Source organism: Homo sapiens, chromosome 9 (assembly GCF_000001405.40).
Source record: "Homo sapiens chromosome 9, GRCh38.p14 Primary Assembly".
Classification (NCBI taxonomy): Eukaryota; Metazoa; Chordata; class Mammalia; order Primates; family Hominidae; genus Homo; species Homo sapiens.
This window is the reverse complement of record NC_000009.12, coordinates 72,770,190-72,797,918: the sequence shown is the minus strand read 5'-3', so window position 1 is coordinate 72,797,918 and position 27,729 is coordinate 72,770,190. Positions and strand designations below refer to the sequence as shown.

The following is a 27,729-nucleotide window of genomic DNA, read 5'->3' as shown; positions in this document are numbered from 1 at the left end:
TGATGATAGTTTCTTTTGCTGTGCTGGAGCTCTTTAGTTTAGTTAGATCCCATTTGTTAATTTTTGCTTTCACTGCAATCGCTTCTGGCATTTTTGTCATGAAATCTTTGCTTGTGCCTATGTCCTGAATGATATTGCCTAGATTTTCTCCTAGAGTTTTCATAGTTTTGGGTTTTACATTTAAGCCTTTAATCCATCTTGAGTTAATTTTTATACATGGTGTAAAGAAGAGGTCCAGTTTCAATTTTCTGCATATGGCTACCAGTTCTCCCAGTAACATTTATTAAATAGGAAATATTTTCCCCATTGCTTGTTTTTGTCAGGTTTGTCAAAGATCAGATGGTTGTAGTTGTGTGGTTTTATTTCTAAGTTATCTATTCTGTTCCATTGGTCTATGTGTCTGTTCTTGCACCAGTACCATGCTGTTTTGAGTACTGTGGCCCTGTAGTATAGTTTGAAGTCAGGTAGTGTGATTCCTCCAGCTTTATTCTTTTTTCTTTGGATTGTCTTGGCTATACGAGCTCTTTTTTGGTTCCATAGGAATTTTAAAATAGTTTTTTTCTAATTCTGTGAAGAATTTCAGTTGTGGTTTAATGGGAATAGCATTGAATCTATAAATTACTTTGGGCAGTATGGCCATTTTAACAAAATTGATTCTTCCCATGTATGAGCATTGAATGTTTTCCCATTTGTGTGTGTCCTCTCTGATTTCCTTGAGCAGTAGTTTGTAGTTCTCCATGAAGAGGTCCTTCACTTCCCTTGTTAGCTGCATTCTTAAGTATTTTATTATCTTTGTAGCAATTGTAGATGTGAGTTCATTCATGATTTGGCTCTCTGCTTGCCTGTTGTTGGTGTATAAGAATGCGAGCAATTTTGCACATTGATATATCCTGAGACTGCTGAAGTTGCTTATCCGCTTAAGAAGCTTTTGGGCCGGGGTAATGGGGTTTTCTAGATATAGGATCATGTCATCTGCAAACAAAGATAATTTGACTCCCTCTTTTCCTATTTTGATACCCTTCATTTCTTTCTCTTGCCTGATTGCCCTGGCCAGAACTTCAAATACTATGTTGAATAGGAGTGGTGAGAGAGGGCATCCTTGTCTCGTGCTGGTTTTCAAGGGGAATGCTTTCAGCTTTTGTCCGTTCATTATGATTTTGGCTGTGGGTTTGTCATAGAAGGCTCTTATTATTTTGAGGTATGTTCCTTCAATACCTAGTTTATTGAGAGTTTTTAACATGAACGGGTGTTGAATTTTATTGAAAGCTTTTTCTGCATCTATGGAGATAATCATGTGGTTTTTCTCTTTATTTCTTTTTACATGATGAATCACATTTATTGTTTTGCATATGTTGAACTAACCTTCCATCCCAAGGATGACGCCTACTTGATTGTGGTGGATTAGCCATTTGATGTGCTGCTGAATTCGGTTTGCAAGTATTTTGTTGAAGATTTTTGAATTGATGGGCCTCATGATATTGGCCTGAAGATTTCTTTTTTTGTTGTGTCTCTGCCAGGTTTTGGTAGCAGAATGATACTGGCCTCATAGGATGAGCTGGGAAGAAGTTCCTCCTCCTCCTCAATTTCGTGAAATAGCTTCAGTAGGAATGTTACCAGTTCTTCTTTGTACATCTGGTAGAATTCAGCTGTGAATTCATCAGGGCCTGGGCTATTATTGGGTGGTGGTAGCCTATGTCTCTTTGTAGGTCTCTAAGAACTTGCTTTATGAATCTGGGTACTCTTGTATTGAGTGCATATATATTTAGGATAGTTAGGTCTTCTTGTTGCATTGAACCCTTTACCATTATGTAATGCCCTTCTTTGCCTTTTTTTTATCTTTGTTGGTTTGAAGTGTATTTGTGTGTGCATGTGTGTGTTTTGTTTTTTGCATTTTTTTTTTGAAATTGGGAATTTTAATTTCAATAACCCATGTTTTTTTCTGTTTTCTCTTGGTTGGTAGATTTTCTTCCATCCCTTTATTTTTAGCGTGTGGGTGTTATTAAGCATGAGATGGGTCTCTTGAAGACAGCATACCATTGGGTCTTGCTTTTTTTTTAATACAGCTTGCTACTCTGTGCCTTTTAAATGGAGCATTTAGCCCATTTACATTCAAGATTAGTATTAATATGTATGGATTTAATCCTGTCATTGTGTTGTTCACTGATTATTATGCTGGCTTGTTTGTATGGTTGCTTTACAGTGTCACTGGTCTGTGTATTTAAGTATGCTTTTGTATTAGCTGCAAATAGTCTTTCCTTACTCCATTTAGTGCTCCTTTCAAGATGTCTTGTAAAGCAGGTCTGGTGGTAACAAACTCCCTCAACATTTGCTTGCCCAAAAATTATCTTATTTCTCCTTTGCTTAGGAAGCTTAGTTTGGCCTGATATGAAATTCTTGGTTGAAGATTTTTTTTCTTTAAGAATGTTGAATATAGGACCCTGACTGCTTCTGGCTTGTAGGGTTTCAGCTGAGACATCTGCTGTTAGCCTAATGGTGTTCTCTCTGTAGGTGACCTGCCCTTTCTCTCTGGCTGTCTTTAACATTTTTTCATTTTGACCTGAGAAAACCTGACAATTGTGTGTTTTGGGGATGATCTTCCTGTGTAGAATCTTGCAGGAATTCTCTGTATTTCCTAAATTTGACTGTTAGCAAAGACTGGCAGCAAATTTGCCTCTCTAGTAAGGTTGGGGAAGTTTTCATGGATAATATCCTAAAATATGTTTTCCAAGTTGTTTGCTTTTTCCCCATCCCTTTCAGGGATGCCAGTGATTCATAGCTTTGGCATTTACATAATCCCATACTTCTTGGAGGTTTTGTTCTTCCCGTTTTATTCTTTTTCCTTTATTTTTATCTGACTGTCTTATTTCAGAGAGCCAGTCTTCAAGTTCTAAGATTCTTTCCTCAGCTTGGTTTATTCTACTGTTAATGCTTGTGATTGCATTGTGAAATTCCTGTATTGTGTTATTCAGCCTTATGAGACCTATTAGCTTCTTTTTTATAACAGCTACTTTGTCCTTCAGCTCCAGTGTCGTGTTATTGTGATTCTTATTTTCCTTGGATTGGGTTTTGCCATTCTTCTGAATCTCAATGATCTTCATTCCTCTCCACAGTCTGAATTCTATTTCAGTCATTTCAGCTAGCTCAGCCTCGTTAAGAACTCTTGTTGGAGAACTGGTGTGGTTGTTTGGAGGACATACAATACTCTGGTCATTTGAGTTACCAGAGTTCTTGCATTGGTTCTTTCTCATCTCAGTGTGTAGGTGTTCCTTTAACTGCAATGTAGATTGAATACAGTCAATAGGCATCTTTCCTGGAAGTTTTCATTGGGCCAAGGCTTTGCACAGGGTCTTTATTTGAAGCTGAGTACTTGTCTTTGGTTTCAGAGGGGGGTATGTTAGTGAGATATTTTTGGTGTTGATGCTTTGGGGAATGTGATCCAGTAGGTGGCACTTCGGCATATTGGTCAGTTGGTAGACTCTTGCTTGGTTGTGAGGCTCCCCTGTGTTGCCGCACAGTTGCAGCCATGTTCCCTCTCAATGCTCTGAAAGTGTAGATTTCTTTCCCCCTTGAGAGCTGGCTGTAGATTACGGCTTGGCACTCCTGGGCTGCCCCTTCAGCTCTGGGGCAATCTCAGCGTTATGTTTCTTCTCCAACTTGGCAGCAGCAGAGGAAGATACCTTGGCATGGTTATGGCCAAGGGTCTTTTGCTTATCTCCTGGGGGCTCCACCCCATTGAGATGCAGGTCAGCAATTACTCCTTGCAATTAGCCCAGGATGGATGTTCTATGTTGTGGGTCCGAGCTGGGGGTTCCCTGTCTGGTGACAAGGAGGGGGGTGGGGGTAGGTAGGACCTGTGAGAGACAGACTGGCCTTCTCTCCTGGAGTCAACTGCAGCTTATTGGAGGTATGGATGAGGCGCTTAGGGTCTTTGTTCCTTTGTTAGTCCAAGGGTAGCAAGGGCAGTTCTACTGCAGAGGTAGTGGCAGAGGAACTTTCAGTTGCCCCTGGGGATCCTGTCCAGGGAGTTACAGAGCTGCTACTTGATCGATAATTCTAGCAGAGGGTAGCTGGAGGCCTAGGCCTGGAGGATGTGTCTGGTGAGCCGATATGGGGATGGGCACCCATGTAAAAGTCTGGTCACTTTTTCATAGGGCTGCTGCAGTATATTGGGACCCCACATCCGTCCCTGGTCACCTCAGATGTTTTATTATCTGGAGGTAGCAACAGTGAAGGCTGTGAAACAGCAAAGATGGCAGCCTGCCCCCACCTCTGGAAGCTCCATCCCAGAAATGTACAGACCCGTTGCTGGCCCAAACGCACCTGTAGGAGGTGGTTGGAGACCCCAGTTAGGAGGTCCTACCCAGTGAGGAGGAAAGGGATAGGAGACCCATTTGAAAAAGTAGTCTAGCCACATTTTCATAGAACAGCTATGCTGTGCTCAGGGTCTGCTTCAGCCGCTGGTTGGCTTGGACTCTCTGAAGCCTGAATGATGGAATGGCCAAGTCAACCAAACAGCAAAGATGATGGCCCACACTTTCCCCCAGGAGCTCTGTCTCAGGGAGGTGCAACATTTCTACCGGTAACTGGCTGGAGTTCCAAGCCAGTGGGTTTCATTCTGTGAGGTGCTGTGAAGTGGGGCCTGCAGACTGTCACTGGATTCAGCCCCTTTTCTAAGGGGTGTGGTTGGGGGTCTAACCTCCTGCTTTGCCAGAGGTATAGCTACTTTTGACAGGAAGCCCAAAAAGAAAAGCCCAGGTATCTAAGGCTCCCGGGTCTCTGCATGTGCTTAAGTGGCTGCTCTGCTGAGACTCCACATAGCTCTGTGTGTCGGACTGAAGGCCCAGGTGGAGTGGGTTCATGAGGATATCTCCTGACACAAGGGTTCCAAAGATCCACGGGAGAAGTATGGGTTCCCAAGGTCGTGCATTCACTCACCACTTCCCTGGGCATAGAAGGATCCCTTGGCTTCATGTCACTACCAGGTGGGCTGTCACCCTGCCTTGCTTTTCTCTGCTCTCCATGGGTCAAGTTGTTTCCTTGATTAGATCCAATGCATGTACCTGGATGTTTCGGTTGAAGGTGCTATATTTACTCAACCCCTCTATTTCTCTCCATGAGAGCCATGCACACTAGCTGCCTCTAGTTGGCTGTCTTGGCCACCCCCAAGACTCTGTTTTTGTTTGTTTGTTTGTTTTGTTTTGTTTTGTTTTACAGCAAACAAGTAACACTAAATAGAGTTCCATTTAAATATTTGCTTTGGCCTGTATCTAAATCGAGTGCTTTATTATAATACAGATAGTAAACATCTCTTTGCACCATTTTCAACTATCCTTCCTTTATATGCAACTGTAAAGGGGACATACAAATAGTATTTACCTCAAGGGATAGATTTGCAAACAGTGTGAGATAATATACATGAAATTCAGAGCCAGCACACAGTCAACATTCAACAAATCTTAGCTATTTTTACTAATAAGCAATTTTTTAAAAGCCAATCTTATGGAAGAGATATTGACTCTCTTTTTTTAATCTACTAATTGCCATACACTTCTGTTGGTGGCATTACCTGTCCCACCATTGTTTCCCAGCAAGGTCCTCGAGGTACATCTGCAGGGTGAACAAAAAAGGGTGGTCCAGTGCTATTTTCAGAGAATGATGCATTGTAGGCCTTGATCATATTGGCTTCCCAAAGGGTAATATTGGCCTTTACTAGCTTCTCCTCTTCAATCTAGAAAGCAAAGAGATAGAAACTAAAATGAAGACAACAGAGATTTCAAAGGCATTTCTGGCAAACTTGAGACTGGGAATTGAACAACACTCTTATGGCAAGGACAATCCAGAAACAAGGCTTACCTTGTTGTTAATCTCATCCATTAATGCAAGAATAAATACGTATAAATTGCCTAAAAGAAGAGCAAAAATGCGTCCCAGTAGCCATTTCAAAGCGATGAGAGGATGGTAGTCTTCTAATTCAGCAAATAAGTCAAACAATGTTGGACAGAACATCCCTAGGAGGGACATAACCATGTTCATCTACAAGGAGGCACAAGGGAGAAACTAGGTTAATGGTGTTTAAAGTTATTATTGCTTTTTGCCAGAATTTTGGAAGATTCTGAGCTAGGCTTCTTTGATCTTTTTTAAGACTAAAAATGACTATTTTATGCACGTTTAGAATTTGATCTCAATAAAATGACAGGGAAAATATTCAATTCACATTCTCAAGAGAGGCATGTGACTGAGTGTGTGTATGTGCCAGTAGTAACAGTCTGTTTCCTGGTATAGTGAAGGTGGCAATTTACATCAGTCTCTACACAGAGAACACATATTGTTCTATGTGGTAACTGATTCTGATATGGTGATGCACTTCACAACAAGATTTCCAAAAGAAATGGAAAATAATCTGCTTGAGGAGGAGGTTCAAACTGAAAATTCTAATCTGACAATCATCAGCATATGGGCTAGTTTAATCAGTTAGAATGGATGAATTCCCTGAGATGGGCCTAGGCCTAAATATTGAATTTTGGCAAATGTAAACTTTTAAGGCCGAAAACATAAACACATACAATGAGTTTTATTAAAGGAAACAGAAGGAACTCAGAGAAACAAATGGAGAACACATGACATAATGTTATGGAAGCCAACGTAGAAAAGTTTCAAAAGTGAAAGAATGGGCTATAATTTCAGAGACAAGAGAATAATGCAGGGGTGGGGAGAGGGGGGAGAGAGAAAGAAGAAGGAATAGAAACATGAAAAGTAGGAAACATGTGCTTTTTATTTCCTGGATGTTTGGCAACCTTATGATGATATTATTTGGCTAAAGGAAGTCAATAAAAAGAATCCAAAACATGTACTAATTTTCTAATAGGGAAATACCGATTTTAGGTAACTCTGGTGACTATCTCCTTTCCCAAATACCCGGCTCAAACTGTCACCACTAAACATTTCCTATTTTCTCCTGTGGACTTCGTGGTGTGAATAATTATAATAACTACCAGACTATATTTAGAAAACAATTGCTATTAGATTTTTGTCATTTTTATTAAAACATTATATAAGTATGACCAACAGGATCCAAATCTCAGCATGACATAATACAAAATCAGCATGCTATAATTTTAGACTAATGTAAAGAAAATTTGGCTTATCCTGTGCAAACTTATGCAAGGCAAATTTAAATTTGGTTTTATCAAATTTGTAAAGTTACTCATGAATCTCCATTATTACCTTCATTGGCCCCTAGGACTCAGAGGGTCCCTAAAATATATGTTAAAGAGGTTCTTACAAAGAATAGTTATTTTATTGATAATCAACTACCCATCCTTTAATATGGTTTATTTATACAAAAACATAACCAATATAAATAATGGACCAAAGCTGCATGATAATGTTACCTCTATGTACTATTACAATTATGAGACCATTTTGAAAGCAAACTTAGTAAATGCTTTGAGGTGTTCCTACATTTTTCATTTTAAATAAATAAAAGCCCTCTGCTAAATTACTTATATTTTACAAGTTTTTATGACATGACTGTATATTAAAGTCTTTAAAATATCTAGTCCCGTCTCTATTGGTACCACTTCTGAAATACTCAGAATGTTATTTGGAACCTTTTTCTGTAAGTAGATTATATCATTTGCTGTCCAAGATTTTTTAGAAAATTCTATGCTTATAAAGACATATTTTAATTCTTTTGATCTATACTGTTCTGCAAAAGTTTCAGTGTGGGAAGTCTACACTTCCCACAGCCTAAATCTGCACATACTTTGAAAATGCCCAAGCTCAAAATGACGTCACATCATACACATAAGCATTTTATGAACGGGAACAGACTCTAGCAACAACTCATGACCAATGATTTTCTGATTCTAAATGATCTATGTCTAACCTCCTTTCTCTGATTCACTAAATGGGCAGATACTCTAAAGGCAAATTACGGTCATAATGTTTAATTCCTGGAAAAGAGCTGGCCTTCTTCATTTGAATAGCATTTAGAGGGAGAGAAAGTAAGGTACAGGACAGGAGGAAATGGAGATGGAGATGCTGCAGTTAGGCTTCTAATGAAAACAGAGGGAAGCCCAGACATGCCCAAAGGTGGAGAAGCAATCTGAGTGTTTCCAGTGAGATCAACATAGGAATCAGTGGCTTTATCATGGCTGCTTCAAAAAGTTCAGGCAACAATTTGATCTTTTAATGACAGATGAAGGATTTGCAGAGAAAGCAGCAAGAGCCTTGGACTCGAAGTCAAGATTCCTAGGTTCTCACCCTGACTCTTCTCCTAACTCTGTGACCATAAACATATAATGCAATCTCTTGAGATTTATCATTCCCATCTGTAAAACATAATGATTAGACTATGTGTTTTTTAATATCTTTTCTGACTCTAACTTTCCATCATGTCACAAAATGAAAAACAGACAGTCCAGATTTAGAAATAAGACTAGAATAGAATGGAAAATGAGCAACAGGGTTGGTTAACTGTAAGGGCAGGATAGGGGATAGGTAAAGGGTGGCCTTTTTAAATGTTCCATCAAAGAAACATAACCCACAAAAGAAACAAATGTCAGGTTCTAAGCACATAAAAAGCATGCAGAGACGAACTTCATTTTTTTCCCACCACCCAAGGGTGTCAGGATCTTGCTGTGCAAATTCCTGGGATCGCTTCACAGCCCAAAAGATGAGGTATCCACTCCCTCCAAGTGTTAGAAACACGAAGAAGTTAGCCAGAAACCTCAGGAATCTGATCAAGTGGACGTTTTCTTCTACTTGGGCTGCTTTTTCTTCTGTGATAGCTTCCTGTATCCATGAAAACAAACAAACAAACAAAAACCCAAAATAGAATATCTTAGCTACATTTTAAAAGTATCAAAACCTCAAAAGTTATTTTTACAATCATCAGAATGTGAGGAATGACAATGTAAACTAAATCTGAGATTCCACAAACCAGGTGAATATTGCCAACAAACGATGGCAAGTAAGACAGAAGGAAGAATTCTTGCAAACAAACTGTGATTGCTCTGATATTAGGATAGTCTTCACTCTAAAAATCTTCATTCCAGTGAATTAAAAAAAAAACTACAAAATAATGTTTTAGGGTCACTTCAATATTATGCTTATTCCTGTAAATAATTAGTGAACATTGTTCTAGTTTTTAAAATATCTTATTCTGATTACTCATGGTCCTATTTCAATCCAGTAACATTATTTTATTACCAGATTTAGAGAAGAGAAGTGTTTAAGGAATAATAGTGCTGTTGTGGGTCATGGAAGATTTTCCAGTTATAATCAGAACCATGGCAAGATCTTGGTAGGCAGAAACCATGAGTTAATCTTTCATGTAAATTGTCAAGATACTGCACTACTGGACCAGATGGAATGCCTCCAATTTTACTCTTAGAAATACAAACAGCAGGTTTTTGAAGTTGGTGCCTCTACCTTAAAGTTCATTGTGATAGAATTAAATTTGTTGTCTGCTGTTTCAGGATTGCCGATCAGGTAGTCCCAGCTGGTAAAGACCTTCCAGCTGAAATTGAAAGTGTTGTCATCTCCACCTCCATCATCACCAATGTTTTTGGTCATTCTGCAAAAACAGGAAGTTTAACCCAGCAGCCAGAAAAAATGAGATAGGGGAAATAGCAACAAAACATGATCATGAGTGTTGAAGTGGAGAAGCAATAGCAAAAAGACATATATTTTATAACAAGTTTGTTCTAATGACCAGAAAATAGTTTCTTTTTAAATTTTATTTTTGTTCAGTTGTTGAAATTATTCACTTTCTAGGCCTTCAAGATTAATAAACTACTAAGCACTGAAGATTTGAATAATTCAACATGTATATAAAAACATATTTTTATGTGTTTTGTTTAACTGAGATAATTAGTTCTTAACCTTTGGTAGGACAAGAATTTCTTTAAGAATACGATGAAATCTATTGAATCCCTCCCCAGGGGAAAAGAAACATATATACTGACTTTTACATTGCTCCACACAACTTTAGTTGGTTCCCAGACCATCTGAAGCCTCTGGATGGACTAAACCAGGCAAAGAAACTCCTATGTAAATTTTAATTCCCCCTAGAATCTCATCCCAAATAGAGATTACATTGAGTACATTAAATTTCCATCTACTCTACAATTCTTGAATAAAAATCAACATTTTTATACAACCTGAATGCCAAGTGGTTTTATATGTATATATATGTGATTTTATATATATTTTTAATCAGTAATTATATGTGTGTGTGTGTATATATATGTGTGTATATATATATATATATGTATTTGCATGAAGAGCTTAAAATGCATTTACTCACAGGTTTATTTTAGTGGTTAGAGATCTATATCCTATATACTCCACTTCCTTTTTTCCCTTTCACTATAAATAGCAAAATTAAAATTTCATATGACACAAATTATAAAATGGTCCCATAAGGTTTTGGTTTTTAAAATATTATAGTCATATAAACCCCAAAGAAGAAAGGGGCACAATGACATAAAGCTGACATTGTAGGTTGACCGGTATCTCTAGATCATCTACATTCCCCCACTATTAGCCACACTTATCATGGAGGCTCATACATTTTAAATAGGCTAGCATGTAAGGAAAAATTACAGATCATTATTCCTTTCATCCATCTACCACTTTACCCTTTGCAAATGGTGATTGTGTGTGCTTTCACATTTGTTCTCTTTAAAATCTCAGCAAGAAGTCAAGGTAGTTACTCTCCTTTTTACAGATAAGGAAGCTGAAGCTCAAAGGCATGAAATAATTTTCTGGACATTATCCAGCAGTGAACCACAGAGATAAGTCAAGGGCTCAGATTTTCTGACTTTGCTCCAGTGCTCAAGCTAGGACACCATGAGGTATGAAAAGCCATACAAAATGCTTTTTTTTTTTTTTTTGGAGGCCAAAAGGGTTGAAAGCAGATATTCCCTATGGTTTAACCTAGGGAGAAAATGACTTATTTGATTAATATGCCACTATCCAGTTTTTGCACTGTCATTGACCAAGGGCAGGGCTTCAAGTAAAAATGGCCACTTGGCAGATAAGTTTTGAATGGAGTTTTATCACTGGCAAAGTTTTGAGCTGAAGACAGCCTCCCAGGGAAGGGAGCCCGAACTGAATGAGCAGACTGGGAACATCTAACATGTGGGAAAGGGTGTGAAAAGAAGTGGAATACTGAAAGGAATAAGGAAAGATGCCCAAGGCAAACCTGCTTGCAACACATTTTTATTGAGATATGGCCATGATAGCTATAAGCTCTACTCTTTGTCTATAGAGCAAAATGTATACAAATTTATGAAAACTGCTCATTTTTTAAGATTGCTATCATTTTCAACCACCTTATCTGAGAAGCAATCTCAATACATCATTTGCTTTGCCAGGGGAGTTAGCAAAGGCAATTCTAGCATATATGTTGTTGCCTAAGGTGTTTCTTTTTGTTTGTTTTGTTTTTGTTTTTGTTTTGTTTTTGTTTGAGGAGGAGTCTTCTCTGTCGCCCAGGCTAGAGTGCAGTGGCGCGATCTCGGCTCAATGCAAGCTCCGCCTCCCGGGATCACGCCATTCTCCTGCCTCAGCCTCCTGAGTAGCTGGGACTACAGGCGCCCGCCACCATGCCTGGCTAATTTTTTGTATTTTTAGTAGAGACGAGGTTTCACCATGTTAGCCAGGATTGTCTCGATATTCTGCCTCGTGATCCACCCACCTCGGCCTCCCAAAGTGCTAGGATTACAGGCGTGAGCCACCGCGCCTGGCCTGCCTAAGGTTTTTATACTGAATTTCTTGACTTGGACAAGTTTGCAGCTCCATTTATACCCTGAGGTCATTTGGTTATTTCATGGGTGCATGTGGAGGTTTTTAACAAATCAAATAAATGCCTCTTTAAATCCTAAACCAACAGGGTCACTATAATGTAGCCTCTGCTAAAATGAAAGTTGAGAAGAGGAAGGGGATTGAGAGGCAGGTAGGAAACAATTTTCTAGAAGCCCACAGGATAAGACCACACAAGAAAAAGAAAATTACTGTAATAGCGATACTAAACAACATGTGGACTAGTTCTCTCTTTTCCATGGTTTTAGTTACTTGTGATCAATTCATGGTTCCAAAAATATTAAATGGAAAATTCTAGAAATAAACAATTCATGTTTTAAGTTTTATGATGTTTCGAGTACTGTGATGAAATTCCTCACCTTCCCACTTCACCCTGCCCAGGATGTGAATTCTCCCTTTGTTTAGTGTGGATGCATCCTGTGGATACAATAGTATACCCATGTTGTTAATAGTCCTCTCAGTTATCAGACTTACTATTACAGTAAGGCAATGCTTGGGTTCAAGTAACCCTTATTTCATGTAATACTCTCAAAGTGCAAGAGCAGTGATGCTGGCAATTCAGATATGCCACAGATAAGACTTAAAGTGCTTCCTTTAAGTGAAAAGGCAAAAGTTTTTGACCTAATAAGGAAGGAAAAGAAAATCATACACTGAGGTTGCTAAGATCTACAGTAAGAACAAATCTTCTATCCATGAAATTGTGAAGAAGAAAAAAGAAATTAATGATAGTTTTGCTGTTGTACCTCAAACTGTAAAAGTGATGGTCACAGTGTGTGATTAAAATTTAGTTAAAGTGGAAAAGTCATTAAATATGTGGACTGAAGACATGAAAAGAAACATGTTCCAACTGACAGCAATAGAATTTGCTATCCTTAGTTTTAGGCATCCACTGGGGGTCTTAGAACATATCCCCTGAAGACAAGAGGGTGCTACTAATGTAAATTATTTTTCCCCCAGATAATTTTTTTAATTATTATTTTTTTCTTTCTAATTTTTATTTTAGGTTCAGGGAATGCATGTGCAGGTTGCTTACATGGGTAAATTGCATGTTGTGGGGGTTTGGTGTATCAATTATTTCATTACTCAGATGATGAGCGTAGTAACCAATAGGTAGTTTTTCAATCCTCACCTTGCTCCCACTCTCCACCCTCACATAGGCCCTGGTGTCTATTGTTCTCTTCTTTGCATCCATGTGTACTCAATGTTTAGCTTCCATTTACAAGTGAGAATATGAGGTTATTTGGTTTTCTGTTCCTGCATTAATTCACTTAGGATAATGGCCTCCAGCTTCATCAATGTTGCTGCAAAGACATAATTTAATTCTTTTTTATGGCTGCATAGCATTGCATGGTGTATATATACTACATTTTCTTCATCCAGTACACTGTTGACGGACATCTAGGTTGATGCCATGTTTTTGCTGTTTTGAATAGTGCTGTGGTGAACATATGAGTACATGTGTCTTTATAGTACAATGATTTCTACTCCTTTGATATTTACCCAGTAATTGGATTGCTTGGCTAAATGGTAGTTCTGTTTTGAGTTCTTTGAGAAATTTTCAAATTGCTTGCCACAGTGGCTGAACTAATTTACATTCCCACCAACAGCATCTAAGTGTTCCCTTTTCTCCACAGTCATGCCAGCATCTGTTTTTTGTTTGTTTGTTTGTTTGTTTGTTTTTAACAATAGTCATTTTGACTGGTGTGAGATAGTATCTCATTGTGGCTTTACTTTGCATTTCTCTAATGATTAGTAATGTTGAGTAATTCTTTATATGCTTAATGGCCGTGTGTGCCTTCTTTTGAGAAGTGTCTGTTCATGTCTTTTGCCCATTTTAATGGTTTTTTAGGGTTTTGTTTTGTTTTGTTTTTGCTGGTTAGTTTAAGTTCCTTATAGATTCTGGATATTAGACTTTTCTTGGATGCATAGTTTGCAAATATTTTTCTCATTCTGTTGGTTGTCTGTTTAGTCTGTTGATAAATTCTTTTGCTGTGCAGAAGTTCTTTAGTTTAATTAGGTCCCACCTATCAATTTTGGTTTTTATTGCAATTGCTTTTGGAGTCTTCTTAATGAAGGATTTGCCAGGGCCGATATCCAGAATAGTATTTCCTAGGATTTCTTCAAGAGTTTTTATAGATTAGTTTTAAAAACTAAAAATTTATAGTTTTCGATTTTACATTTAAGTCTTTAACCCACCTTGAGTTGATTTTTGTATCTGGTGAAAGGAAAGAGTCCAGCTTTGATCTTCTGGATAGGGCTATCCAGTTATTCCAATGCTGTGTATGACCCAGGGAGTCCTTTCCCCATTGCTTGTTTTTGTTAACTTTGTCAAAAATCAGGTTCTTGTACATGTGCAGCTTTATTTCTAGATTCTCTAACTTATTCCATTGGTCTATGTGGTGGTTAATATTAGGTGTCAACTTGATTGGATTGAAGGATGCCTAGATAGCTGGTAAAATATTGTTTCTTGGTGTGTCTGTGAAGGTGTTGCCAGAGGAGACTGACAGTTGAGTCAGTGGACTGGGAGGGGAAGACCCACCCTTAATGTGGGTGGGCATCATCTAATCAGCTGCCACAGTGGCTAAAACAAAGGAGGTGGAAGAAAGTGGGGTAAGCTGGCTTGCTGAGTCTTCTGGCTTTCATCTTTTTGCTGTACTAGATGCTTCCTTTCATCCTCCTGCTCTTGGATATCAGACTCCAGGTTCTTCAGCATCTGGACTCTGGGACTTACACCAGTGGTTTGCCAGGGGCTCTCAGGCCTTCAGCCACAGATTGAAGGCTACACTGTCGGTTTCCCTGTTTTAGAGGCTTTTGGACTCAGACTGAGCCACTCTTGGCTTCTTCCTTCCTCAGCTTGCAGACGGCCTAACACGAAACTTCACCTTGTGATCATGTGAGCCTTTCTCCCTAATAAGCTCCCATATATATATATATATCTCCTATTAGTTCTGTCTCTCTAGAGAGCCCTGACTAATACGGTCTATGTGCCTGTTTTTCTATCAGTATCATGAGATTTTAGTTACTGTAGCCTTGTAGCATAGTCTGAAGTCAGGTAGTGTGATTCTGATGCCTCCAGCTTTTTAAATTTTTTTTAATTTTTAGCTTGTGATAGCTTTGGATATTCAGGGTGTTTGGGTTCCATATGAATGTTAAATAGTTTCTTCTAACTCTAAAAACTGTTATTTGTATTTTGATAGGAATAGCATTGAATCTGTAAAGTGTTTTGGGTAATATGGCCATTTTAACAATATTAATTCTTCCCATCTATGAGCATGGAATTTTTCCATTTGTTTGTGTCATTTCTGATTTCTTTAAGCTATGTTCTGTAATTCTCATTGTAGAGATCTTTCACCTCCCTGGTTAGCTATATTCCTAGATATTATATTCTTTTTGTGGCTATTATGAATGAAATTGCATTCCTGGTTTGGCTTGGACAATATTGCTGTATAGAAATGTACATTGGTTTTTTATTCTGAAACTTTGCAGAAGTTATTTATCAGATCTAGGAACCTTTGGGCAGAGACTATGTGGTTTTCTAGGTTTAGAATTATATTGTCCACAAAGAGAGATAGTTTGACTTCCTCTCTTCCTATTTGCGTGCCTTTTATTTCTTTCTCTTGCCTAATTGCTCTGGCTAGGACTTCCCGTACTATGTTGAATAAGAATAGTGAGGGTGGGTATCCTTGTCTTGTTCCAGTTCTCAAGGATAATGCTTCCAGCTTTTGCCTGTTCAGTATGATGTTGGCTGTGAGTTTAACATAGATGGCTCATTATTTTGAGGTATGTTCCTTCAATGCCTAGTTTGTTCAGAGTTTTTAACATGAAAGGATGTTGAATTTTATCCAAAGCCTTTTCTGCGTCTATTGAGATGATCACGTAGTTTCTGTTTTTCATTCTGTTTATGTGATAAATCACATTTATTTATTTGTGTATGTTGAACCAACCTTGCATCCCAGGAATAAAGCCTACTTGATCATGGTAAATTACTTTTGGGAGTGCTGGTGGATTTGGTTTGCTATTATTTTGTTGAGGATTTTTGCATGTATGTTTATCAAGGATATTGGCCTGAAGTTTTATTTTCTCATTGTGTCTCTGCCAGGATTTGGTATCAGAATGATGCTGGTCTCATGGAATGAGTTAAAGAGGCATCCCTCCTCCTCAAGTTTTTGAAATAGTTTCAGTAGGATTGGCACCAACTCTTCTTTATACATCTGGTAGAATTTGGCTGTGAATTTGTCTGGTCCAGGACTTTTTCTGGTTGATAGGCTTTTTATTACTGATTCAATTCTAGAATTTGTTATTGGTCTGTTCAGGGTTTCAATTTCTTCCTGGTTCAATCTTGGGAGGTTATATGTTTTCAGGAATTTATCCATTTCTTCTAAGTGTTCTAGTTTGTGTGCATAGAGGTGTTTGTAATAATCTCTGAGGGTTTTTTGTGTTTCTTTTGAGTTGTTGGTAATGTCCCTTTTGTCATTTCTGATTGTGTTTATTTGAATCTTCTTTTTTCTTTATTAATCTAGCTAGTGGTCTATCAATCTTATTTATACTTTCAAATAGACAACTCTTGGATTTATGTACCTTTTGTATGGCTTTTTGTGTCTCAATTTCATTCAGTTCAGGTCTGATTTTGGTTATTTCTTATCTTCTGCTAGCTTTGGGGTTGGTGTGCTCTTGTTTCTCTGGTTTCTCTACATGTGATGTTAAGTTGTTAATTTGAGATCTTTCTAACTTTTTGATGTGGGTGTTTAGTGCTATAACTTCCCTTTTAAACTGCTTTAACTGGGTCCCAAAGATTCTGGTATGTCATGTCTTTGTTCTCACTAGTTTCAAATAATTTCTTAATTTTTGCCTTAATTTCATTGTTTACCCAAAAGTCATTCAGGAGCAGGCTATTTAATTTCCATGTAATCATGTGATTTTTAGAGATCCTCTTGGTATTGATTTCTATTTTTATTGCACTGTGATCCAAGAATGTTGTTGGTGTGACTTCAGTTTTTCTTAATTTGCTGAGAATTGCTTTATGAGTGAGCATGTGGTTGATTTTATAGTTTGTGTCATTTGCAGATAAGAAGAATGTATATTCTGTTGTTGTTGGGTGGAGTGTTCTGTAGATGTCTGTTAGGTCCATTTGGTCATGTGTTGAGTTCAGGTCCCAAATACCTTTGTTAGTTTTCTGCCTCAATAATCTGTCTAATACTGTCAGTAAGGTGCAGAACTCTCTTGCTATTATTGTGTAGTTATCTAAGTCTTTTTGTGGGTCAAGAACTTATTTTATGAACCTGGGTGTTCCAGTGTTGGGTACATATACATTTAGGACAGTTAAGTCTTCTTGCTGAATTGAATCTTTTATCTTTATGTAATCCTCTTCTTTGTCCCTTTTTGATTATTGTTAGGTTAAAGTCTGTTTGGTTTAAAATAAAAATAACAGGCTCTTCTCTTTTTGTTTTCTGTTTGCTTGATAGATTTTTATCAATTTCTTTATGGCTTGATAGATTTTTATCAATCTCTTTATGGCTTGATGGATTTTTATCAATCTCTTTATTTTGAGCCTGTGGGTGTCACTGCATGTGAGATGGGTCCCTTGAAGACAACATACAGTTGGTTCTTGCTTCTTGATCCAACTTGCCATTCTGTGCCTTTTGAATGTGGCATTTAGCCCGTTTACATTTAAGGTTAATATTCATATGTGAAGATTTGATCCTGTCATAGTGTTGTTAGTTGGTTGTTATGTGGACTTGATTGTGTAGTTGCTTTATAGTGTCAGTGGTCTATGTACTTATGTGTGTTTTTGTGGTAGTTGGTAACAGTTTTTTATTTCCATGTTAGCACTTCCTTAAGGACCTCTTGTAAGGCAAGTGTGATAGTAATGAATTCCTTTAGCATTTGCATGTCTGAAAAGGATTTTATTTCTCCTTTGCTTATGAAGCTTAGTTAGGCTCGATATGAAATTCTTAGTTGAAATTTCTTTTCTTTTAGGATGGTGAATATAGGCCCTAATCTCTTCTTGGTTGTACTGCTTCTGCTGAAAGGTCTGCCATTAGTGTGATGGGTTCTTTTTATAGATGTCTTTCCCTTCTCTCCAGCTGCCTTTAATATTTTTTCTTTTGCATTGACCTTAAAGAATCTGTGGGCTATGTGTCTTGGGGATGGTCATCTTTTATAGGATCTTGCAGGGGTTCTCTGAATTTTCTGAATCTGAATGTTGACCTCTCTAGTGAGGATGGGGAAATTTTCATAGGCAGTACCCTCAAATATGTTGTCTAACTTGCTTTCTCTCTCCCCCTCTCTTTCAGGGATGTCAGTGAGTCATAGGATTGGTCTTTTTACATAATTCTGTATTTCTTGGAGGCTTTGTTCATTCCTTTTTATTCTTTCTTTTTTATTCTTGTCTGACTGAGTCAATTTGAAGAACCACTTTTGAGCTCTGAGATTCTTTCCTCAGCTTGGGCTGTTCTGCTCCTGATACTTCCAATTGTATTATGAAATTATTGTAATGGGGTTTTCAGCTCTATCAGATCAGCTTGGTTCTTAAAATGACTATTTTGTCTTTCAGCTCTTGTATTGTTTTACTGGATTCTTAGGTTCATCGTATTGGGTTTTAACTTCCTACTAAATCTCAACAATCTTCATTGCCATCCAGACTCTGAATTCTATGTCTGTCATTTCAGCCATCTCAGTCTGATTAAGAACCATTGCTGGGGAGCTAGCATGGTCATTTGGAAGTGAGAACACACTCCGGCTTTTTGAGTTGCCCCAGTTCTTTTGCTGGTTTTTTCTCATCTGTGTGAGCTGATGTTTCTTTAATCTTTAAAGTTGCAATTCTTTGATGCCTTTGAGGTTTTGACTGTGATATAAGTTAGGTCTAGTCAACTGGCTTCATTTCTGGCTGATTTCAGGGGACCTGGGCTCAGCTCAGCACTCCTGGACTGTGTGCTGTAACCCAGTGGTATAGGACCAGGCACACAGCTTTGTTCTCTGGCCTCTCAAGGTTAAACACCTGCTGTGCTGAAGGAGCTGAGGTGTTTCCAGTCTGTTAACAACAATGCTCCATGAGGGTTGCTGGCAACAGTGCTTTGTCGGGGCAGTGGCAGTGGGGTCTGTGCTCATGTGTTGGTGGCAGCAGAGCAGCAGGGTCCATGCATACCTGCGTGTTGGCAAAGCAGAGGGGGGAGGCTGCAGGTGGTTGTGTGCGGGTGGAGGCTTGTCTTCAGAAGCTCTCCAACAGTTGGGTGGGGTCTGCCAACAAAGAAGCTATGATGATGGCCTTTAGGAAGTGCCCCAGTTGGACATCCAAGCCTGTGCTGCAAGTGGGCACAGCCTGGCATGAACCTCAGGAAAGGCTGGCAGACAAGGGAGGCACTCAGATCAGAATGGCCTCATTCCATGGGCAAGACAGCCCTGCTCTGTATTGGTCTGACAGTCAACAAAGGCCAAAGCCTACAGGGGCATGGTGAGTCTTCAGGGATGGGTGTCCTTGGCTGTGCTCTACTGCAGTCCTTCCTTTGCCAAATCCTCTGAACTCCACACAGTCTGCAGTCCTGTCCCTGTCAACTCTTCAAGCAGCTCCCCCTATCAGTTCAAATATCCATGGGGGTCATTGAGACTCCTGCAGCTAGAATTATGGAGGTCCATGGTGAGAGTGGGCTACTCCACGCCTATTTAACTCTCCCTTCCTTAGGAGACACTCGGAGCCAGGAATGAGTCCTAGAACTCATTCCTGAGCATAGCATTCCAAGCTTCCTCTAACTTCAGCACAGAGTCTACATCCTTCCTCCATCCACTCTCAATGCCTCCCTTCTGAAGATCTACTTGGAGTGTGCCAATCTTCTTAATACCCTGGTTTCTCATTGGGAGAAGCTCTTCCTGGCTGCATCTTGTTAGCCATCTTGGCTCTTCTCAACTATTTAAAATTCTTGAGGATGAAGAAGCTGTAGCAAATATTTGACTGCAGAGGATAACAACAACATAAAATTATACTACATTGGCCAAAACCACTGGTCATTTCTTTGTTTACAATATTTCCCCAACTGAGCACCACAGAGGCAAGGACTTTATTTTGCTCACCATGAAATACCCAGGTACTGGATAGTTCTCTTAGATTACCCATTCTAGGTGTTCCACAAATAGTAATCAAATGAATGAATACATGAATTGTCATTCTAGAAGTAAACTTAGCACTGGAAAGAGCCTCACCAAGTAAATACATACAGCATAAATTGCTTTTTTGCATGGCACAATACATATAATAAATGCATACCACATATGCTTGTTATTCTATCACTGTTTAGTTCTGTCTTTGTCATTATGATAGGTTTTGACAATATCACCTCACTTTGTAAATAGCTGCCATTCTTTGTGAACTACTACTATCCTTATTAGTCCATGCTTGCAAGAAGACAGTTTTTTATGTTGAGTTTTAAAATCTAGATGCAATTCATAGAGTAGTAATATAAAATGGAAGGTGGTGACTTCATGTCTTTCATACCTCGTTGCTTTTCTGCTCCAAGCATTTTTGAAATAAGGTCAACTATAGTTTGAGGAAGATGAGATAACCATATGTTTTGTGGGATTTGCCAGAATATCATGCCCTGTAGGCCAGGTCCACTTACCCTTCCATAACTTTCTCTAGGGTCTGAAATTCATCATTACATACATCAAACATTATGATCTCCAATGAAAATATCTCTGAGAAGTAAAATATTAGACTGGGGTCTATGAGGCACTCTGACTGCTTTCTACTAAATAGATAAGGAGAAATTCCTTCGACAAAGAAAAAAATTAATTGGGGGTGGGAAAATGGGGAGGAAAAAGAAACAATTTCAATGTTAAGAAATTAAGGATGTCAAGAGACATGGAAGATATTTAGGCAGAGTATCAGGTAGGTCATAACTGTCTGGGTAAACATGTACCAAAGAAGTGAAAAGAAAATGGACAAAGGCACTGACATCTAAGTAGAAGGAAGAAAATAAAGTCTCGTTGATTTAGAAATGGTGTGTGTGAAGCTGGCCATGATTTATCTTGGAATATGCAAGAGTCTTGTAGAACAAGGACTTGGTTTTGATAAGTTTAATTTTTTTTTTAACAAAACGTTTGGTCACATGAGTCACATCAAGGCCATAAAACTCTAAGGGAATTTAACAACAGACAAGAAACTATTTTAATACAGAATTTTTAAAAATAAAAAGGCTACCCAGGACGAGACAGAGACATCAGTCTATATTGATGATTGTTATCATCAATATAGATGAATCCACATCAGAAATTAGAAAAGCTAAGTGCTGAAATTAAAGCAAGGTGTTCAAAGTTCAGTTATGCAAATTACTGGGCATTTGAACTTAGTGAAATCCTCAAACTCTGCTGAGCCTTAATTTCTCCATCCATCCAATAGGAATAACTAATGGGTACTCAACACAGTATATAAGATTGGTGGGAGGAACACCTTGGCCTACGTAAGGAGAAGCACAGTACAGAGAGGTGGCAAGGTGTAAGGGGTAGAAGATATCTTTTGAACTAGAAAACTCTAAATTCAAAGAGGTCTTATAGTCAAATGACCTTGTGCAGTTCATTTAGGATCTCTGAGTTTTATTTCATTATCTGTAAAATTATAAAACTAATAGCTACTTTGCAATGTTTAGGGATTAGAAGTAATGTAATTTAAACTGATTCATGAGAGATGCTCAACAGATGTTAATTATTATTATTTCAAGTATAATTTATAATTATTGTTGCAGCTCCAGAAATATGGATGAACATACTGTCATTTTGCCAAATTTAAAAATATTTATCTGCATGTGTTGAGGTTGGTTTGTGATATATGTAGTTTATAATATATATCTCATATATATATAATCTATATTATAGTCTATGTAGACAAAAATTTTGACACCATTTAAGGGTTACGTATAGCACATGATTTAAGTATCCAAGAATATTTGTTAGTCCATTCTATGAGTATTATTATAGCCAGGATCATAAACAGAAAAATTATATCTAATCCCAGGGAGCCCTGTGCTGAGTTTTCGCTGTTTGTCTCCCCAAATGTCATGTAGAGATTTGATCTCAATGTTGGAGGTAGAGCCTAATGAAAGGTGTTTGGGTCATAGGGGAAGATTCTTTATGAACAGATTAATGCCTTCTTTTGCAGGGGATAGTAAGTGAGTTCTTATTCTATTAGCTCCCACGAGAGCTGGCTGTTTAAAAGAGCCCAGCACCTCCCCATCTCTCTTTTGCTTCCTATCTCACCATCGTGATCTCTGCACATGCTGGTTCCCCTTTGCCTTCCACCAGGAGTGGAAACAGCTGAATCACTCACTTGATGCAGAAGCTGACTCCATGCTTCTTGTACAGTCTGTAGACTGTGAGCCAAATAAACCTCTTTTCTTTACAAATTACCAAGCCTCAGGTATTCCTTTATAGCAACACGAAATGGACTAAAACATCCTACAAACAGGAAAAAGTCTTGAAAAAGCCTACAAGGATAAAATAGCTATGAGTTTCTTATTAAGACATGCATTCTCAAAATGATTCAACTGCTTCCAGTAGTTTAGCTGCTGTAAAATAGACCAGTAAAACCCCAAATTTTTAGCTTAGAGAATTGTTTTTAACGGGAACAGTTGGGTTCTGATGTCAAGCCACCTTTATTTTATGATATAAAACTTCAAACTAATGAGGACAATATTTAAATGAGCTGATGGTTTCCATGTTGTGTAACTTTATGTTATACTGTTTTAATTTGCTTTTAATACTTATGTAACTATATTTATCATGAAGATTTCTAAGCATATGATGTGGTTGAAAATGTACACTGACCTGGAAAGAAAAGGAAAAAAAAAAAGGATAAAAGAAATGAATGAAGGGAGGAAGAAGAAAAGGGAAGGACTTAAAACCAAGGTGACCAACCATCCATGTTTGTTGGGGACTGAAAGGTTCTCAAATGCAAGACTTTCAGTTCTAAAACCAGGAGAATCCTGGGCCAACAAAGTTAGTCATCTTATCTTAAAATTTCAAACTATTTTCTTGGATTTCTATCTTTTTATTTTCTGATTTTGCTATTAAGTAACTAAAAATAGATATTTGCTCCCATTTTGTGGATGAGTATGCAGACGCTAACAGAATGAGTACAGTGAAAAAATCTTGATGTAGCCTAGTCGATTTTAGAACTTAGGTTACCTTCTATTCCATTTGAGTAATGTATGTCATAAATCCGCTCAAACTTATTCCAAGAGAATATTTGACTGGGATAGGAGTAGGAAGAGATGATTAATGATTCTGTACAAAGATTTATATCTCATCAATTCTTTTTCTACTGAATATTCTCCCATGGGCTGGTGGTGGAGTGAGAGTGGTGTATTGTTTTTGAGTTGTCTTGCTGTTTGGGCAATGAGTTTGAACTACTTGTTAACCAGGTAAGGAGCAGCCAAAGGTCCATGCCAGAGGGAAGGTTCAAGGCCACACTGGTTTGGATGATATAACATGAATGACTTTGAGGGGGAAAATGTGGATTTGATGCCCTGCAGCTATCCCAAATGGCATCTTCGAGCAACTTTGAAAAAGCCACTACTTCCTCTAGAGCCACTCTACCCAACAGAGTGTTCCACCAGCAACATCTGGCTACTGAACAATTGAAATGCGACTGGTATAAAATACACACCAGATTTCAAAGACTTGATACCTTTCGAAAGGCAGAGAATATCTCAATAATAATTTTATATTGATTGTTCGTTAAAATGATAATACTTTTGATATATTGAGTTAAAGCAAATATATTTATTATTAAAATTAAATGTACCTGTCTATTTATTTAATGACTACTAGAAGTTTTAAACTTATATATGTGGCTTGCCTGGCACAATGCTGCTCTAGATACTTTAAATTCATCTGCCAGAAAATCATTTATTAAATATACAAATCTACTGATGTACAACTGCATAACCATACATGACTGCCTTGTTTTGGGGATCTATAATGTGGCCTCAACTCCTACCATGCTGGCTTTTTTTCTTAAATAAGCCTATGAATTATAGGCTAATAAAATATAATATAGCCTAATAAAATATAGCCTAATAAAATTGTTAACATTTGTTGAATAATTTTCTCATCCAGGCATATTCTAAGTGCTTTGTTTGTATTAATTCATTTAGTCCTCACATCCATTACACCTCTATTACCAAGGGGAAACAGGAGAACAAAGCAGTTGAGCCATCTGTTAATGATTGTATAAATACATACATGGTAGAGCTGGGATTTGAACCTAGGCAGAATGGCTGTGGGGTACACAGCCTGCACAGTTACCGGAATAAAAGCTGAGTCATCAGACATGAGAAACTATTCTTCTCCACTGACCACAGAAACTAAAGGAGCAACACAGAAATGATACTCATGAGGCCTCAGTAATGTAAATGATACCTCTGACTTCAGCCCAACCAGAGCAATATAGTCAAAAGACTAGAAAATATCTTCGATTTTTGGAATGTGATAGTAGTTTATCTGATGGACAGTCTCTTATATTTGAGGTCTCTGATTACACTTTAGCAGGTTGATAAATATCTTAGATATAGGATTTCCTATAAGGTTTTAAGTCCTAAAAGAGCTTAAAAATGAAATATGGCAGTTTTCTCTGGAGGAACAAGTAAGTGAGGCAGGTTTAGGACACAAAGTGTGTCACAGACTGCTTCAGAGAGCTCCTGCTTAGGGTGACTTTGCACTTTTCCCCTCTTAGACCCTCAGGCTGAGGGACCTCCTACAATGAGGGGAAAAGCTCATTCAACTTGCACATAGTCAAATAAAAGAATGGCAACCTTACTTGAGATGTTTCAACTCTTCTCGTAAACTAGTTCAAAAAAAATTGGCTAAAGGGTCATTTTTTTAATATATAAACCCAAATAACTCTGCTAGGCTTCTGCAGTCTTTAAGTGGAGTATTATAAATAATTTTAGGCAGGGAGAAAAATGAACTGCAGTAATATCAGTTCTCCAGTGAAATTCTTCCCCATACTCCAATAAATCTTTTCCCAAGACAAACCATGATTATACAGTTGATTGTGATGGTTTCATTGGGGACCATTCATTTTTGCTGTCTTACACAGCTAAAATTTTTTGAATGAGTGATTATTCTGGTTTTTTTAAAAAATGAGCAGAGAACAATAGATTCTGCCTATTGAGCTGATTCTGCAAGTTACAAACCTCTCTGCACGCAAAAGAGAGACCAGCAGCTGTTTTCCTGTCTTGCTGGCAACATTAATTCACACCTTCAAGTACAAAAATACACATTTAAAAAATATGTTTAAACACAAGATAGGCATGCAAGCATTGGTCTGACCCCATGAGATGACTCAAAGGCCTGTGTTTATGTTCAGTTCTTTTGAAGATGTAATAGTCTAACATTAGTGTTGGTATTAAAACTACATTTCATCTCTTACAGACTCTGTTTCCTTTAGACATAAAATAGCAACAAAATTATATCCAATCCCCAAATTAATCCCTCCATTTGATTCCAGAAATCATTATTTGCTTCCCAAAAGACAAATGAAACTTACGCTTTGAGGACAACCAGAAAGCTGTATCCAATGCACATAATCCCCACTAGAAAATAGGAGAGCGGCAACCTGAAATTCATCCATCCAATTGTTCGTTTATTGTCATAATAGCCATAAAAGAGAACGGAATATTGTGCCAAACCCTGAAATCCAACAACAAAGCCACTTAGCAGTTGTCGTGAAGAGCAACTCAAAGGAAAAGATCAACTCTTAAGAGAAATAACAAAATGACATTAATTTTCAAACTTGGGTCACAGCTCTGACATGAGCCCTATTGTTTTGCTCCATAAAGTGAATGTTTCAGCTGCCATGTTGATTGGCAGCTTTTCAGTTTATTTGAAAATCAGTGACTTCTAAATAGATAAAATTTTTAAGCAAATACAGGCTTGCTCAGCTGTGGAGCCATTACCGTGAAATGCCCTTTGATTTAAACATCAAAACACATTTCGTGGTATCATTAGATTTACGATTTTAAGAGTTTGCTTAATACTAGGGGATGGGGATCTGAAAAATGCTTCCTCAAAGTGCTGTGGCAGATTTCCATTTCCAATCACCTGACCATAATTAGATCAGTTCTTCTTAAACCACAGAGGTTATGTCTCAGCTCTCACTTCACAAATATCAAAGAGCAGGTGGGATGACATTGGAACTCATCTGCACACTTCCCATTCATCAAGACTATCACAGCATTCCCATATAACAAGCATGTTTACTTGTGCATTAGATTCTCGTTCCTAAAAATTATCTGCCAGGGTTGAAATCACCCTCTCTCAAAGCCACCTGAATAACTCCCTCTTTATTCTCAGAACATTGGCATATTCTGATGCTGCTTCCTTTATAATATGCACCTTTTCTCTTCCTCACATTCACTGTGTTTTTCACTTTCAGCATTGAAGCACTGTTACTGTATCACTACAGCTATCCACTCCCCAGCTCCCCTCTTACTTCTCTCTGACAATAACTATGTTTTGTGAAATGAGAAGATAATCACTTGTCAATATGGGGCTTCCTCTTGAGATCAGGTGAGTCAACCCTGAATCTTAGAAAACCCAATTGGTTGCCTTTGACATCATTTATACGAACCCAGGGACTTTGACACTCACAGCTGAAGAAGGGAAGTGAAGTGGGGGAGAGTGGAGGTGTGGAAAAGAAAGTAGAAATGTCGTAGATGCTAATTCCTAGAGGAAGAATTAAGAGAAGTAATTTAGAAAATTGCCTTAAACAAACATCATGCCTAACTCAAATCAGAGGCCAACAGAGATCTGAAAAACTATTGCTTTCAAAATATGGGGCAAATTTTCTTAAATATTGTACTCTTTAAGAACTAGAACAAAATAAAATCTCCAAATAATCTCAGAGGAACTTGTGTGCTTAACTCGGGACTGCACGGAATGAATCACAGGTAAATACCAAAGGTCTGGGTTTCCCTGGGCCACACAGGCCTGTATCTGCATTTTTCAGTTTAAGAAAAAATAAAGCCAACTTGTGATGTTTAATTGTATGTGCCAACTTGAGTGGGCCATGGGGTGTCCATATCAAACACTGTTTCTGGGTATGCCCGGGAGGGTGTCCCTGGATAAGATGAGCAGTTAAATAGGTGGACTCAGTAAAGTAGATTGCCCTCCCCAGCATGGCTGGACATCATTTAATCCACTGAGGACAAAAAGAGGAAGAACAAAAGGAAGAAGGAGGGATTTGCTCCTTTTTCTCCTGCCTCACTCACTGCTTGAGCTGGGACATCTCATCTCCTCCTGCCCTCAGAGTGGGATTCACACCATTGGCTCCCCTGGTTCTCAGGCCTTCAGATTCAGACTGAATTACAGCACTGGTTTCTCTGGATCTCCAGCTTGCAGATGTCAGGTTAGAAGATTTCTCAGCCTCCATGGTTGTGTGAGCCTATTCCTCAAAATGAATCTCCTTTTATATCTGTAGTAAATCTATTATTTATATTAACTTATAAATTATATATATCAGCCAGACATGGTGACTCACACCTGTAATTCTAGCACTTTGGGAGGCTGAGGCAGGAGAATTGCTAGAACCCAGGAGGTGGAGGTTGCAGTGTCCCAAGATCACACCATTGCACTGCAGCCTAGGTGACAAAGTGAGACCCCGTCTCAAAAAAAAAAAAAAAAACCCAACAAATTTTATATGCATATATATATATATAAAGATTTATATAATAAATTTAAGTAATAATAATGATAAATCAAAATAAATTTATTATATAAATACTAGATTGATATAATAAATTTTATATATATATATATGTATATGTGTGTATGTGTGTATACATATCTTCTACTGGTTATATTTCTCTGGAGAACCCTGACTAGGATGCCATCCAACAGAACATTTGGGGATAA

At 38.0% G+C, this 27,729-nt stretch overlaps 1 protein-coding gene across 2 annotated transcripts in view; it reads right to left on the bottom strand.

Moving 5' to 3' along the window:
* Positions 1–27,729, bottom strand: part of TMC1 (transmembrane channel like 1) — a 316,690-nt gene that overhangs the window by 40,379 nt on the left and 248,582 nt on the right. For both annotated transcript variants that reach the window (NM_138691.3, XM_017014256.2), the window contains 5 exons: positions 25,364–25,506; positions 9,436–9,580; positions 8,602–8,796; positions 5,854–6,033; positions 5,567–5,728 (listed from right to left, as the gene is read on the bottom strand). In NM_138691.3, the coding sequence (NP_619636.2) occupies positions 5,567–5,728; positions 5,854–6,033; positions 8,602–8,796; positions 9,436–9,580; positions 25,364–25,506 (825 nt within the window). The remainder of the gene's footprint in view (positions 1–5,566; positions 5,729–5,853; positions 6,034–8,601; positions 8,797–9,435; positions 9,581–25,363; positions 25,507–27,729) is intronic.